We start from the raw sequence: 15,265 nt of genomic DNA, 5'->3' as shown, positions 1-15,265 counted from the left end.
TGGAATATTGTTTTAAGTATAAAATGAAATAGTACAGAGGAAGCTTCTGCCATACCTTAACTACACAATAAATATTAGTTAATATTAACTCATTTAATCCTAAGAAGAGGTCTATAAATTTGTACACAATAATTTTTTGTGGCTACTCAAATTTTCATAATTAATCTAGATTTAAAATCAAGGAATATTCTTACTTGTAGTTGGCAATCAATATGACATGCCAAAATTATATGTAAGTATTTTATTGTTGGTGAGGATATAAGAAATTTACCATCAAAAGAGAGACGATAATCTATGCTTGCAGACTCCGGAAAGCTGTCTCTCACATAAGAATTTGCAATTTCTGGGGGAAAAGAAAAAGTTGATTGTGCAAATAAACATTACCATGGAGTCTTCTCTATGGCAACATCAAAAATGGAAGCTAATTCTCATCTTCCTAACAATCTGCAAAGACGAGTGAAACACAACCTACTGAGCATCAAGTTAAAGAAGGAGAGAAATTTGAGTGGCACAGGAGGAAATCATGTCACCGCTAGCGAAATCAATATGACGAGTGCTCCTCTGCCCTCCTCCGAGGCTAAGGATGGGTTAAATATCAGTGGCTGACCTCAGGTAATGGAATAAGCAAAAAAGCTATAAAAATGCATGCATTACGTAATTAAGAGGGTGGGAAGGTATTTTTTTAAAAAGGCAATTCCTACTTGGGTTCCTTCCTGTTCACCCCGTTGGCAAAGAAGCTAGTCTTGTCCTAGAATTCTGGGAATGGCTGCAGACAAAACAAACACTGAGCAGACGAAATTCCCAGTAATTTAAACAAAACTCATGATATCCTTGTGTACAAGATGGAAGAAGAGTGGACCAGATGACAATATTTAGATGGAGTCATTCTTAACCCCCGTTGCTCTCCCAGTGGTCTAGCTGGGGTTTGTATAAAGTGGAATGGGAGGAATAGGGAAGGAGCCCCCACCTACCCTCTCCCCTTGTCCACTTGTCCTCCTTCACTAGTGGATAAAGTCCACGGGAACAGGCAAGTTATTTTAAATCTGTATCTTCTGTTGTCAAGATCTATAATCAGTTCTGCTTGCTGGACTGGGGACAGGAACCAAGGGAACATGAGGGTTGACGTGGAGTCCAGGAACACACTGTGCCTACATGCAGAATGTTTGTGCCAGGAAAGCCAGTCAGCACGCAGATGGTCTCAGATACCAAGCTAGTGTTGGGAAGCAAGATTCAGTCTCTTGAAGGCGGTGTTCCTCATTCTGTGGTTTGTATCACTTGCTTCAGAATGACCTGGAGTACTTGTTAAAATGCAAATTTTGAGCCCAATCCTAGACCTCCTAAGCCTGCATCTCTACGGATGGGTCTCAGTAGTCGATATTGGAAACGTGCAGGTCCCTAGGAGATGCTTATGCATATAGATTTGAACTGTTGTGTTTAAGGGTTAGGGAGCTGGCAAAAGCAAGGAATAGACCAAGCCCTCGGGTGGGAAGGCTCCATAACCTTGGCACTGTTAGCATTCTGGGCGGAACAGGATTCTGCCACATGCTTCGCAGCATCCCTAGCCTCTACTCTCTAAGACCGTATTCCAGTTGTGAAAACGAAAATGTCCCCTGGGAGGCAAAATAGTCACCAGTTGGGAACTGGAACCACTGCTTTGTGAGATCAGAGTGGTTACTTTGTTCCCAATCCAAGGATCAGAACACACGATGAGAGAAAGTCCAGCTATTGGAACTGGAGTGCCAAGTTGGAGCTAGACCTACAACAAAAGCTCCAAAAGCTCCTTTATAGAGCTGATCCCATGCCTCAGCTACCTAGCTTGTACAGATGCCATGTAACTCTAGATTTGGTGACAGAAGGAATTTAAAGGCTAGAACTAGATAGGGTCTTTCAGGTTAGGCCAGCACACAACGTGGACTTTTGACGTCATCCAGATGCTTGAACCAACCTCAGTCCTGAGGCAGAATTTCCCGTGGCATCTGATACACAGCCTGGATTTGGAGCACTCACTGGGATTAGATGCCACGGGAATATTGTGTTTAGGAACTCTGAAAGAGACATGCTTCAACAAAGCAGACCTAAGCAACACGTAGCGTCTGAACTTCTTTATCAGCTTCCATTCCAGCCCATGAGGACAAAAGCATCACATACATATCCACTGTGGCAAACCTGTCCTCAGTAGGGAGTTTCCCCAGTATTACTCTCCCCTCTGTTCTGAGCCTACTTGCTCCTTTGTAATGTTTCCACTTTCTGTCCCACTCCCTAATAGATGATTTGTCCTCTCTGCCCAGCCCCCTAGTTCTGATATTTGGATTGTCTGTGATCTGGGTAGTACTTAGGAGGTAGAATCAAAGCCTTGTTGATTGGATTGGGAGTTTCTAACTTCCTATTAAAGGCACTGATTAAGCATCTATTGTATAAAGTAAAGTAAGATTATGATCCAGTAAGAAAGATTCCACAAGTAGCGCAGGAAGAATTGGTTTCTAGTACACTTCATGCTTCAGGACCAGAAATCCAGAAAAAAATTCTGTGGTACGTTAAGTGTTTACTGTAAGTTTCATTTCCATGTGAAAAACTGTAGTTAGCTAAAAAGTACATCCATGAAGAATCCTGATTAAACTTGTTTAATCCTGGTTAAACTAGCTACTAGCTAAACAATAAGTTCACAACAACTCAAGAACTCTGTAAAAGCATTTCCTCTGAATATTTTATTCAGAAAAAAAACACAAAAAGATAAGGCAGAAACAAAAATCCCAGTCATTTGCAGTATCTGTCAGCTTTCAATTTGGTTCTCTTGTTTAAATAAAGAAAAATAGTAAAATTAATCTATGTAAAACATGTCATATATATTCAACTGCTACTAAATATAAAAAGCTTTAAAACTGTGTGTTCAATTTTGGTTAGTGTATTACCACAACACTTATATTAAAATATGTATACTTTTAAATTTGGTTTCTATAAAAAATGGATTCTAATCTTATAAAAGTTATTTCCTAATATTCAATAAATGTTGCCTAAGGGCTTTTTCAATCCAAATAGCAATTTTAATTATTCTGGAATTTAAGGGTGCTCTAAATTTCCATTTAACAGGGTGAGAACACTGTATTATTACAAGTGAAAAAAGTTACAGGACATAGAGCTTATTCCGTTTTAGACTCCACATCCTGATTATATTTTATATCCTCTTCTTGATTTCTTACAACTAGATACATACTCATTTGCTCAGCTGGAAAAAGTTCTTAACGTTATTTACTGACTTTAGGTATGAACTCTACCAGCTAGTTAACAGGAAATACGTAATTAAACATTGACTTTATCAAGTAATGTAAAAAAAGGGTAAGAGTAACTTTCCAACATAGGACTTGAATGAGCGGCTGGTGATTATCAAAATCTGGCACTTAATTGATTTATACTTGTACACTCACAGCTAAACGTCTCTACCTGTTTTTCTATGTTGTAAATCTAGGACATCACTTATCTACATAGGAATAGTAATAAATATTAATAATGTGCTATGATAAACATCCTGCACTCTTCCAAATCTTACAGTAAAACTGCTTCAATTTCACTTGTTTAGCTTTTATACTTAGTTTTTTAGTTGATCTATGCTTATTTTAAGGAACCTGAACTACTCTAACAGAATCCACATAATTTTTATATTAGTCAAACTGCTTCTTTCTAACTCTGGTTCTAATAGTTATAAAAAGATAATGATAAATTTATGAAGTAGATACAGTCAAACCTGAATTTCTTAAAGTATATGTTTAGAATCGGTTATAATTTTTAGATATTCTTTCTTGAAAGTCTTTTCCCAAACTCATGATGTCCTCTCTAGGTAATATTGCCACACTCATAAATTAGAAATAAAGACAAAAATGTGAAAACTACAGTAATTTAAGAGAATGTAGGTTTTCTATATGCCATTTCTATTGGCTACTGAAAATAGTGGAAATAAGTACATAAATAGCTACCTGTCCAGAAGCGTCTCATGCAAAAATCCATCTTTCTGCGTCTTTTTAAGAATTTTACTGCTTCTTGACTTATTTTAAGTTTGTGGTCTTGGAAGCTCTGAAATTTCTTTCTGCAAAGAAAATGCCTTCATTGAAAAAACCTCAAACTCTGATTATACATATTTACTATTAAATTTATAAATACTGTTAATTTCTTTTTCACTTATTAAAAAAGTCTAATTGTAGGCCAGGCGCAGTGGCTCATGCCTGCAATCCCAGCACTTTGGGAGGCCAAGGCAGGCAGATCACTCGAGGTCAGGAGTTCGAGAACAGCCTGGCCAACATGGTGAAACCCCGTCTCTACTAAAAATACAAAAATTAGCCGAGCGTAGTGGCGTGTGCCTGTAGTCCCAGCTACTCGGGAGGCTGAGGCAGGAGAATCACATGAACCTGGGAGGTGGAGGTTGCGATGAGCCGAGATCATGGCACTGCACTCCAGTCTGGGGGACAGAGCGAGACTCCGTCTTGGGGGAGAAAAAAAAAGTCTAATTATATTTTTTTAAATAAGCTGGAGCTTTTGAACAACAAAGGTGACCTCTCAAGAGGAGGGCCACTCATTGACTGGGTAGCACAAGGCCCCATTTCTATTAGGGCATGCTGGCTGGAGTCCCCTGTGTCCTGGCCATAGCACAGCCTTTGACTGGCATCACTCCCATTGTATGAATGAATAGAGAGATTGACTAACCCGACTGACTAGTTTTGGGAGCTGGTAGGATGATTAGGAAAACTGAACCCTCAAGAAAAGAAAAGCATTTAGCTCAGTGCTCTGTCCCAGAGGCTACATTGTGTTGCCTCTTCTTGTCCATCAGTTTTCATTTTTTCAGACGGGGTCTTGCTCTGTCACCCAGGCTGGAATGCAGTGGTGATCAGAGCTCACTGCAGCCTTGAACTCCTGGGCTCAAACAATCCTCCTGTCTCAGCCTCCCGAGTAGCTGGGCCTACATGCATGCACCACCATCCCCAGCTAATTAGGTAATTTATTTTGAAAGCACTTTGAGAAGCACTTCACTGTCAAATCTGTAGGTCTAAAAGGAAAAGCATACATACACATAATTGATTTCACATTGTTTTACATTTCCTTTGTCTTCTTCTGGAATGTCATCTTTTTTCTTGGTTTCTCTTTCAGCACAGGATCTAATCTAGATATTGGAAAAGAGAATCCAATGGGTTATATGTTTATCTTCCACCTTCCCCACTTTACGTATCACATAAGAACATTCGAGATGATTTCTTATGCAGAAGAAAAAATTAACTGAGCAACTATATTCAGAAAAAGACAGGTTCTGGCTATGTGTTTTTACTTCATATATATAATCTATATGAGTAAGTGCTATCACATGCTTCCTCCACAGCCCTTGTGTCAGAAACACTACAGACAAAATTATTTCAGAAACATTTTACACATCAGATCTGTTAGGCAGTAAAGCAATCATTAACTAATTTAATTTTGTCCTCCAAGTCAATACACTAGGATCAAATTATCCCTAGTAGACAAGTGTTCATTTGATCAGATTGAAAGCTTAATAGCTATTTTAGATTGCACAGACTATTACCAAAGTATTAAAACTTTTAACATTACACAACTTGTTTTTAATTAATTGGAACCCACCTCTTTTACTAGCTTCTTATATCCTCCTAAGTTTGGATAGATGTTTACTATCACATGTCATAAGTTAATTGATCTGCATTCAACAATTAGGATCGCCCACAGAACAGGTAATTGGCAATGGTAAGGACTCATGTCTCCTAAGGGATCTCTGTGGCCAGAGTCTAGTTCCAGGGCTGCTTAGAAAGTGATGACAAATAACGTGTTTGTGCCAATGACATCTTTGTGACAGTTTTGATTAGAGGGGTCCCAGACCTGAAAACATTCCCTGCTAGAGCCTGTAGCACAATGCTACCTTTAGTAAGAGGGATCTGTGTTCTGGTAGATAAGGCAAGGTCATAAAGGTGAAGGGCTGACAGAGATTAGGAGAGCCTGCAATTAAATGGTACGAAAAGAGTCCTAAATAATCACTGTTCAGAGCTTCCAAGTACTTGACTAACCAAAGAGACCCAGAAAACTTTGTATTTCATCTGAAAATTGCTTTAAATAGTGAAAAATGCAATCTTTGTGTAAGTATCTTTGTATCTTTGTATAAGTGCAAAGCACTGCACATATATTTGCAATTGTTGCCTTCAATAACACTTTTGTGATGATATCCAGATGAAAAATAATTTAAACATGATACAATAAAATATAAATAAATTAAATTAAATGTAAGTCACAAACCCATCTGCATTTCCTCCATGACCTGTTTCCTGAGAAGCAATGTGCTATGAAATACTGAGACTGGCCTCTGGAGTCAGCTGGGCCTGGGTACACATCCTGTCTTGCCACACCTTGAAATCACTGTGATTTCCATGAACTGACTGACAAAAACCACGAGGATGTAAGGAGGGTCAGAGGCTGTCTTACTGTCTGTAAGGCTGAGCTCACATCCACCTCACAGGAGCATTATGGAAATTCAAGACTGCAACGCATGTGCCGGATGCATGCAACGAAAAAATATAACACTTCACTTCTCTAACTGTAAGAAAATACCTACATTTTAGATTGAAATTGTTTGAGCTTTAGATTTGAAATTATCTGAAATCAAGACTATTCTAAAAAGAAAATCAAACATATGACCGGAAATCTAACATGAAGCACATACAGAGAATTGATAGATGCTTTTAAATTACACTGGTAGTAGAGAAAAATGTAACATAAATTTTTATGCTCTGATTATAAGAACAAAGGCCGTTTTAGAAAAGGCATTTGCCCCCTCTCTTAGAGCCTTCCACTCTGGCCCCCACAATGCCTGACAGAGTAAATCTGGGTCAGACTGGATGCAACCTGTGATTCCCAAAAGAGACAAACAAAGCAAGGTTCAGGATGCTCAGTACTGCGATGGAATGCCAAGACACAGAAAAGCCATGTGTCAAGAAGGGGGGAGTTATTCTTTAGACACATCCTGATATATGTTTATCATTAAAGATCAGTGGCTTTTGTGAGTCTAAAAAATTAAGCCTTAAATGTTTTCATCAAATTCCAGTTAACTACCTGATTTATCTAGGTTATATTAACAGTATTATTTAGAATTTCACCTTGATATGAAGATGTCTGTGTAACTTTTACAATGATGTAAAACAAAGAGTAGGATTAGGGAGGGCACAGGCCACTGGTGTAATGGATAACGCGTCTGACTACGGATGAGGGAATTTAGCCTGGAATAAGGAACTTTTATTTCCAGCTTAGTGACGCACACAAATTTTAAAAATAAAATAAAAATCATGTTTTATGTGATTCATGTTTCTCCTAATGCAAAGAAGATGGGTACTATTACTAAAAATATTTTTTAAATGTAAGGGCTAAGGCCCCAGAAGTTCTGCTATGATTTTTTATGTTTCATAGAGTGATTATCATCACAGAAGCTCAAGCATTACATAAATACAAATGCGTATACCCCGACCTGGTAATTCTGCTTCTTGAAATTTATCTTCAGGTCCACCCGCACATCTACAAATTGATGCATATTCAATGTTATGTACTGCAGCACTGTTTATAAGAGCAAAAGACTGGAAACAGCCTAAATTTCCATCTATAAAAGACTAAATAAATAAAGGTACATCCCTAAAATGGAATATTATGTGGCGTTAAAAAAGAGAGAGAGAGAAAGAGAGGAGAAGCAAGAAAAAGAGAAAGCTTTCTACATTCAAACTAATAGTAGAAAACTCTCCAAGATACAATTTTAAAGAAAAAAAAATCAAAGTCGAGAAAACTATAGAGGAGGCTGCCTTTAGTGTAAGACAGTTGAAAATTATAAATATATTCATATGTTTATAAAGAAATTTTAGGAGGCTATAAAAAAACAAAACAAAGGGAAAGAGGAACAGGAGCTGGGACACAGGTGAGCAAGATGCATGGCAGGCATATGTCTTCATCTTCGTATGCTTTTATTTAAAAATGTTGGACCATGTGTACATGTTATCTATTTTAAAAATTAGATTTTAAAATACAAGCAAGAAAACAAGAAAATGAAAGCATAAAAAGAGCATGTGGAACTACCAGTAAAAGATACTAATCCATGGAGATAATGGCAAGGTAGCTCCTAGATGCACTGATTTCTCTACCACATTGTATAAACAAGCCATCAACTATGCGATTTGTAATTAAAAATGAGTCTATTTGAAACACCACATTATAAAAAGCTATTAAGTAAATCTTCAAAGTGACAGTAAATGATGACTTAACATTTTAAAGAGATACAGTCACATCGCATGTGTGAATGCAGTCATCTGTATAAAATGTCATCATTACCTTCATCATTTCTTCTTCTCCTGCTGTTTTACTTTTTGCTTCTATGTCCCCTGCTTCATTGCATCTAATAAAGCAGCTATTTGAGGCCAACAAATCCATTTTCCCCTAAGTGAAACGAAATAACAAAATAGCCATGAGGATACTTCTTGTAGAAGAAATATTAAGTGTTTAGACTGAATGAATTTTTCCTCCCTGATTTAAAAATCACAGAAAAGAACTTAGAGAAAAACCTGAAAAATATAATACAAGAACATATAGAAAAGGAAACCAAAATCACCTTTCATTTTGCTATTCAAAGATTGCCACAATAAATATTTGTAGTGTATCTTCCTAGTAGGACTAAACTCTAATTAGATGAGGTAGGATTGCTTCCTTTCTAAAAGATCTACTGAAGATAAAACTGATTTAGTTCTGTTTGAAAAATTAACTTTAAAGACAAGAACATAATTATGAATGCATACTTTATTCAAATATTAGCATTTTAAGTAAAATTTATTTTCCTCACAATTAGAAAACATGAAAAGGCATATACAATGCCTTTGGTGTTTTGAATTTAAGAATCAATGTCTGAGGGACTTTTGTGTGTGAAAATAAATATTCATGGCCGGGCGCGGTGGCTCACGCCTGTAATCCTAGCACTTTGGGAGGCCGAGGCGGGTGGATCACGAGGTCAGGAGATCGAGACCATCCTGGCTAACATGGTGAAACCCCGTCTCTACTAAAAATACAAAAAATTAGCCGGGTGTGGTGGCGGGCACCTGTAGTCCCAGCTACTCGGGAGGCTGAGGCAAGAGAATGGCATGAACCAGGGAGGCAGAGCTTGCAGTGAGCCAAGATCGTGCCACTGCACTCCAGCCTGGGCGACAGAGCCAGACTCTGCTTAAAAAAAAAATAATAAATAAATAAATAAATATTCATACACATTTTTCGTTGTTTAATGTTTGATGTATTACACTGCTTTCTATTAAACAAAACTTTAAAAACTGATTTTCTTGTGTATCTAAATCTGGGTTATAAATGTGGTTAGCTTAACTCCCGTAACAAATATAGTGTTTATTTATAACTTGTATTTGGTTGATTCTTTTGGAAAACTTGGAATACAATAACATTTAGACAAAATATTTATAAATACAATGATTACAAAATATGTTAACCTTATATCACATCCAGTTAAAAACGTGCTGATAATATGGATTTAATTTCTTAGTCAAGTCACAAGGGCTGGGTGGTCTCTCATCTCGATGGCTCCTGGTGAGCCCTGGAACATGGCGGTGTGGTCCAAGGCGATTTAAACCTGTGCCACAGATTATTCAGCTGAGTCCTTTTTGCAACAGAGATTTAAGACCCTCTTTCATTTAAATTTAAATTTTTGAAACTTAGTGTCAAATGCTAAAATATCATTGGAACATTACTTTAGATTAGAAAATATTTTATTAATAATTCAGACAGAGTGTGATATGGTTTGGCTGTGTCCCCCCCAAATCTCATCTTGAATTGTAGTTCCCATAATCCCCACATGTTACCCAGTGGGGGGTAATTGAATCATGGGGGCGGTTAGCCCATGCTGCTATTCTCATGATAGTGAGTGAGTTCTCATGAGATCTGATGGTTTTATCCAGGACTTTTCCCCCTTTTGCTCAGCACCTCTCCTTGCTGCTGCCATGTGAAGAAGGATGTGTTTGCTTCCCGTTCCGCCATGATTGTAAGTTTCCTGAGGCCTCCCCGAACTATGAGTCAATTAAATCTCTTTCGTTTATGAATAGCCAAGCACTGTGAGAATGGACTAATAAATACGAGTGTCTTAATCCATTTTGCATTGTTATAAAGGAATATCTGAGGCTGGGTAATTTAATAAAATAAGACATTTATTTGACTCACGGTTCTTCAGGCTCTGCAAGAAGCATGGCACCAGCATCTGCTTCTGGTGAGGACCTCATGAAGTTTCTAACCATGGGGGGAGGCCAAGAGAGAGCAGGCATGTCACATGGCAAGGGAGGGAGCAAGAGAGAGGGGAGGAGTGCCATGCTCTTTTAGGCAGCCAGATCCCACAGGAACTAAGAGTGAGAATTCACTCAATCCTAACATAATGACACCAAGCAACTCATGAGGGATCTGCCCCCCTGACCCAAACACCTCCAACTAGGCCCCACCTCCCACATTAGGGATGAAATTTCAACATGATATTTGGAGGGAACTAATATCCAAACTATGTCATAGAGGTATGTGTGTAACCTCATTCATTTATGCATTCATTCAACAAAATATGTAGTGAGCACCTGCTATGTGCCAGGCACTGTGCTAGGCTGTAGATATGACTCATAAATAAGATGAATATTGCCACAGTCCTTAGGAGCCTAGTGTAGTTGGGGAGTAAATAAGCAAACAGATAATTTCTATACCTGGTAATTACTACTTTGATAGGGCAAAGAGGATTCTGTTTGTGCTGTAAAAGCACATGAAAAGTACAAAGTCAATCCTTGGGAGGTCATGGAATCTTTCCTAGGAAATGATATATAAGGTGGATAAAAAGGTAACCAGATACAGATGAGAAGAGAAGGTGGGCCAGAAATTTTGAAATACTGAACCAACTGGATGTCATTCACTGACATAGGGTAATAGTATAGATGACTGGATTGGAAAATGAAAAAGGAACTAAAAGTAATTAAATGAGCTGCAGACATGAAAATGAACACTTGGGAAGTCCTGGCAGGAAGTCATCAATAAGACAACATAATGAAGTGGAAAGTGGTTGGGAGTAAGGCTGACTTGGATTCAAACCCTAGTTTCACCACTTAATAGACGTGTTAAGTTGAACAAATCCTTTAACTTTTCAGAGCCTCAATTTTCCTCTTTGTAAAATACAGATAATAACATGGACACTATAAGGGTTTTGTTGTTGTTGTTGTTGTTTTGAGACGGAGTCTTGCTCTGTTGCCCAGGCTGGAGTGCAGTGCCTCAATCTTGGCTCACTGCAACCTCTGCCTCCTGGGTTCAAGCGATTCTCCTGCCTCAGCTTCCAGAGTAGCTGGGACTACAGGCGCACGCCACCATGCCTGGCTAATTTTTGTATTTTTTGTAGAGACGGGGTTTCACCATATTGGCCAGGCTGGTCTCGAACTCCTGATCTCAGATGATCCGCCTGCCTTGGCCTCCCAAAGTGCTGGGATTACAGGTGTGAGCCACCGCACCTGGCCCAGACACTGTAAGTTTTGGGGAGGATTAAATGGGATCATCCATGTAAATGCACCTATCCCAGTCTCTAGCACACACTGAACACTCAAAAGTGGGAGGTTTTGGTATTTCAGAAGAAAATCAGGTGTCGTGGAGTGTTAGTCGTAACCTTGAACTATATGCAAAGACTAAAGCTAGGAAGATAGGAAGAGTTTTACAAGATCCTTTTGGCTATATAGTTAAAGTTATTAGCAGTTAGAGTTTCCCTTACAGTTGACAAGTGAACCATAAAAGTGAATGACTTGTGGTTCCTCAGATAAAAGCACGAGTCAGAGTTGTAATTTCTGTTTTGTGGACGTAATTGTTGACCAAGTGCACTGAAGGTAGGGATGGCCAGTAGCAAAATTATAAAGCAGGCCTGTTTGTCTTCAAACACTCCTGAGTAAACTTGTCATTTCCTTGTAAAAATGCAAAATAGACTACTGAGTAGAGGTGATCAATTACAGAAATGCACTTACTTTGGCTTTCTTCTGAAACCTAATAAAATGACAGTAAAGGGATTATTTTTTTAAGGCAGAAACCCACAATGATGATGAAATTAGAAAGGAAGACAAGAACAACAAGGTTGTGGAATTCAGAAGCCATATAGACAAGAGGTAACACACCTGAGAAAGATGATCCCTAAATTTGTCTTGGAGAAAACTCAGAAGTACCTGACTACATCATAGACCTCCCAAACAGCTTCCAAATGTCCAGATACCACTGAAAATGGGGATAAAGGTAGGGTCAAAAATAGGAGGATTGGGTTATAAGTCTGTATAAGAAGTTGTTAGATCCCTACATCCTCTCTTCAAACCTGTATAGCCAGATAATGGTCCCTCTCCCAGCCTGGCAGAGGCTGGAAAAGGTAAATAGAGAAAGTTACTTCCTGGAGAACATTTGGCACATTTGGGGATGGAGTTCAGTAATATAAATGAAGGGGTAGTGAAAATTTATGGGAACATTTATAACCTAACAGAACCCCATGTCTTTTACCCCATTCTAATTCCAGACCACTAGAGATTAGAAAATTATTCTCTGGGGTATCTGACCACTTCCAGAGGAAAGACATAAAGATGCTGATGTCGAGAATGACCCAACTAAATGGCCCAGCCAGATGACCCAGTTGAAGCTGGTGGACAAGAAGTTTCATTCATGGAATCAGAACTTCCAATAAGGTCTTTTAGTACCTCACTCCTAAATTTGAATAGACTACCAAAGATTATCAGACATCTAAGGGGAACTACCAGCATGAAAGGTAGAGACCAAAGCAAACAAACAAACAAAGAAAATAATTTGGAACTAACCAAGACTATGCTGGGAGAAGAAAACTATTATTAATATCCACAGAGCGTAGTACAGCCACTATGGAGAACAGTATGGAGGTTCCTCTAAAGACTAAAAATAGAACCATCATATAATTCAACAATCCCACTGCTAGATATATACCCCAAAGAAAGGAAATCAGTATATTGAAAAGATATCTGCACTCTCATGTTTACTGTAGCACTATTCATAATAGCCAAGATTTGGAAGCAACTTAAGTGTCCATCAACAGATGAATAGATTTTTTTAAAATGTGGTACATATACACAATGGAGTACTATTCAGCCATAAAAAAGAATGAGAAATGTCATTTGCAACAACATGGTTGGAACTGGAGGACCTTATGTTAAGTGAAATAAGCCAGGCCCAAAAAAGCAAATTTCACATGTTCTCACTCATTTGTGGGACCCAAAAATGAAAACAGTTGAACTCAGGGAGATAGAGTAGGATGATGGTTACCAGAGGCTGGAAGGGTAGTTGTGGTGGGAGGTGGGTGGTTAATGAGTACAAAAATATAGTTAGATAGAATGAATAAATCTAATAGTTGCTAGCACAACAGGGTGACTACAGTCAACAATAATTTACCGTACATTTAAAGTAACTAAAAGAGTATAATTGGCATGTTAGTTACACAAAAAAAGGATAAATGCTTGAGGCAACGGATATACCATTTACCTGGATTTGGTTATCACACATTGTATACTTGCATTAAAATACCTGCCGGGCACATGGCTCATGCCTGTAATCCCAGCACTTTGGGAGGCTGAGGTGGGCAGATCACCTGAGGTCGGGAGTTTGAGACCAGCCTGACTAACATGGAGAAACCCGTCTCTACTAAAAATACAAAGTTAGCTGGGCATGGTGGCTCATTCCTGTAATCCAAGCTACTCGGGAGGCTGAGGCAGGAGAATCACTTGAACCTGGGAGGCGGAGGTTGCAGTGAGCCGAGACCGCACCATTGCACTCCAGCCTGGGCAACAAGAGCACAACTCCGTCTCAAAAAAAAAAAAAAAAATCTTATGTTCCCCATAAATATAAATACCTATTATGTACCAATAAAAGTAAAAAGTAAAAAGTTTCAATTGATTCACAACTTTAAAAAATATCCACAGAGGTGTAAGAGGAGATATTGTATTGCACCCACGAACCAGTCTTATGCTATTTCAGAAAGGGACATTCAAGAAACAAAAAGGGAGCTCTGGGAAATTTGAACAATAAATAATAGTAGAATAAAAAATTCAGAGAAAGTTTGGATGATAAATTTGAGCCAATCTCCCAGTAAGCAAAGCAAAAATATAGAAAATGAGTTAGAAAAGAAAAAGAAAAAAATTAAAGGACTAAAATAAGAAGTCCAACATCTAAATAAGAGGAGATCCACAAAGAGCAACAGAGATAAGAGAAGAAAGGAAATAATCAATAAAATAATTCAAGAAAATCCAAGGACATGAGTTCTCAGATTGTAAGAGACTACTTGAGTGAAAAAAAAAAAAAAAAAGAATGGAGTTAGACCCATCCCAAGGCACATTATTTGTGCGATTTTAAAATACTGATATATTAGTTTGCTAGAGCTGCAGTAACAAAACACCACAGACTGGGTGGCTTGAACAGCAGAAATTTGTTTTCTCATGGTTCTGGATGCTAGAAGTCTAAGATCGAGGTGACAGCAGTTTCGTTTTTTCCTGATGCTTCTCTCCTTAGCTCACAGATGGCTGCCTTCTAGTTGTGTCCTCATACTGTCTTCCCTTGGTCAGTGTTGTCTGTGTCCTCGTCTCCTCTTCTTAAAGGGACACCAGTCATATTAGGTTAAGAATTGCCCATTAGACCTCATTTTACCTTAATTACCTCTTTAAAGGCCCCACGTCTAAATACAGTCATATTCTAAACTACTGGGGGTTAGGGCTTCACTGAGTGAATTTTGGTGGAAAGTGGGGCAGGGGACACAATTCAGCCTACAAAAACTGGAAACAAAGTGAAAATCCTATGTGTTTCTGTGCTCAGAAGACAGGAAGTAGTCATACCCAAGAGTCAATAATTAAACTGGTTTCTCACCAGCAATTTGGGAGACTGGAAGTCGGAAGACACAGAGCAGTGCCTACCACATTCAAAAGAGAAAAGAGGCCGGGCATGGTGGCTCACGCCTGTAATCCCAGCACTTTAGGAGGCGAAGAGGATGGATCACCAGGTCAGGTGTTCAAGACCAGCCTGACCAACATGGTGAAATGCTGTCTCTACTAAAAATACAAAAATTAGCTGGGCATAGTGGAACACGCCTGTAATCCCAGCACTTTGGGAGGCCACAGAGGGCAGATCACCAGGTCAGGAGTTTGAGACCAGCCTGACCAACAAGGTGAAACCCCATCTCTACTAAAAATACAAAAAT

At 38.6% G+C, this 15,265-nt stretch overlaps 1 pseudogene; it reads right to left on the bottom strand.

Moving 5' to 3' along the window:
• On the bottom strand, positions 2,691-8,454 carry LOC105376057 (protein FRG1B-like; annotated as a pseudogene).

Source organism: Homo sapiens, chromosome 9, assembly GCF_000001405.40.
Source record: "Homo sapiens chromosome 9, GRCh38.p14 Primary Assembly".
Classification (NCBI taxonomy): domain Eukaryota; kingdom Metazoa; phylum Chordata; class Mammalia; order Primates; family Hominidae; genus Homo; species Homo sapiens.
The sequence above is the reverse complement of the archived record's forward strand: the minus strand, read 5'-3'. Positions and strand labels throughout refer to the sequence as shown.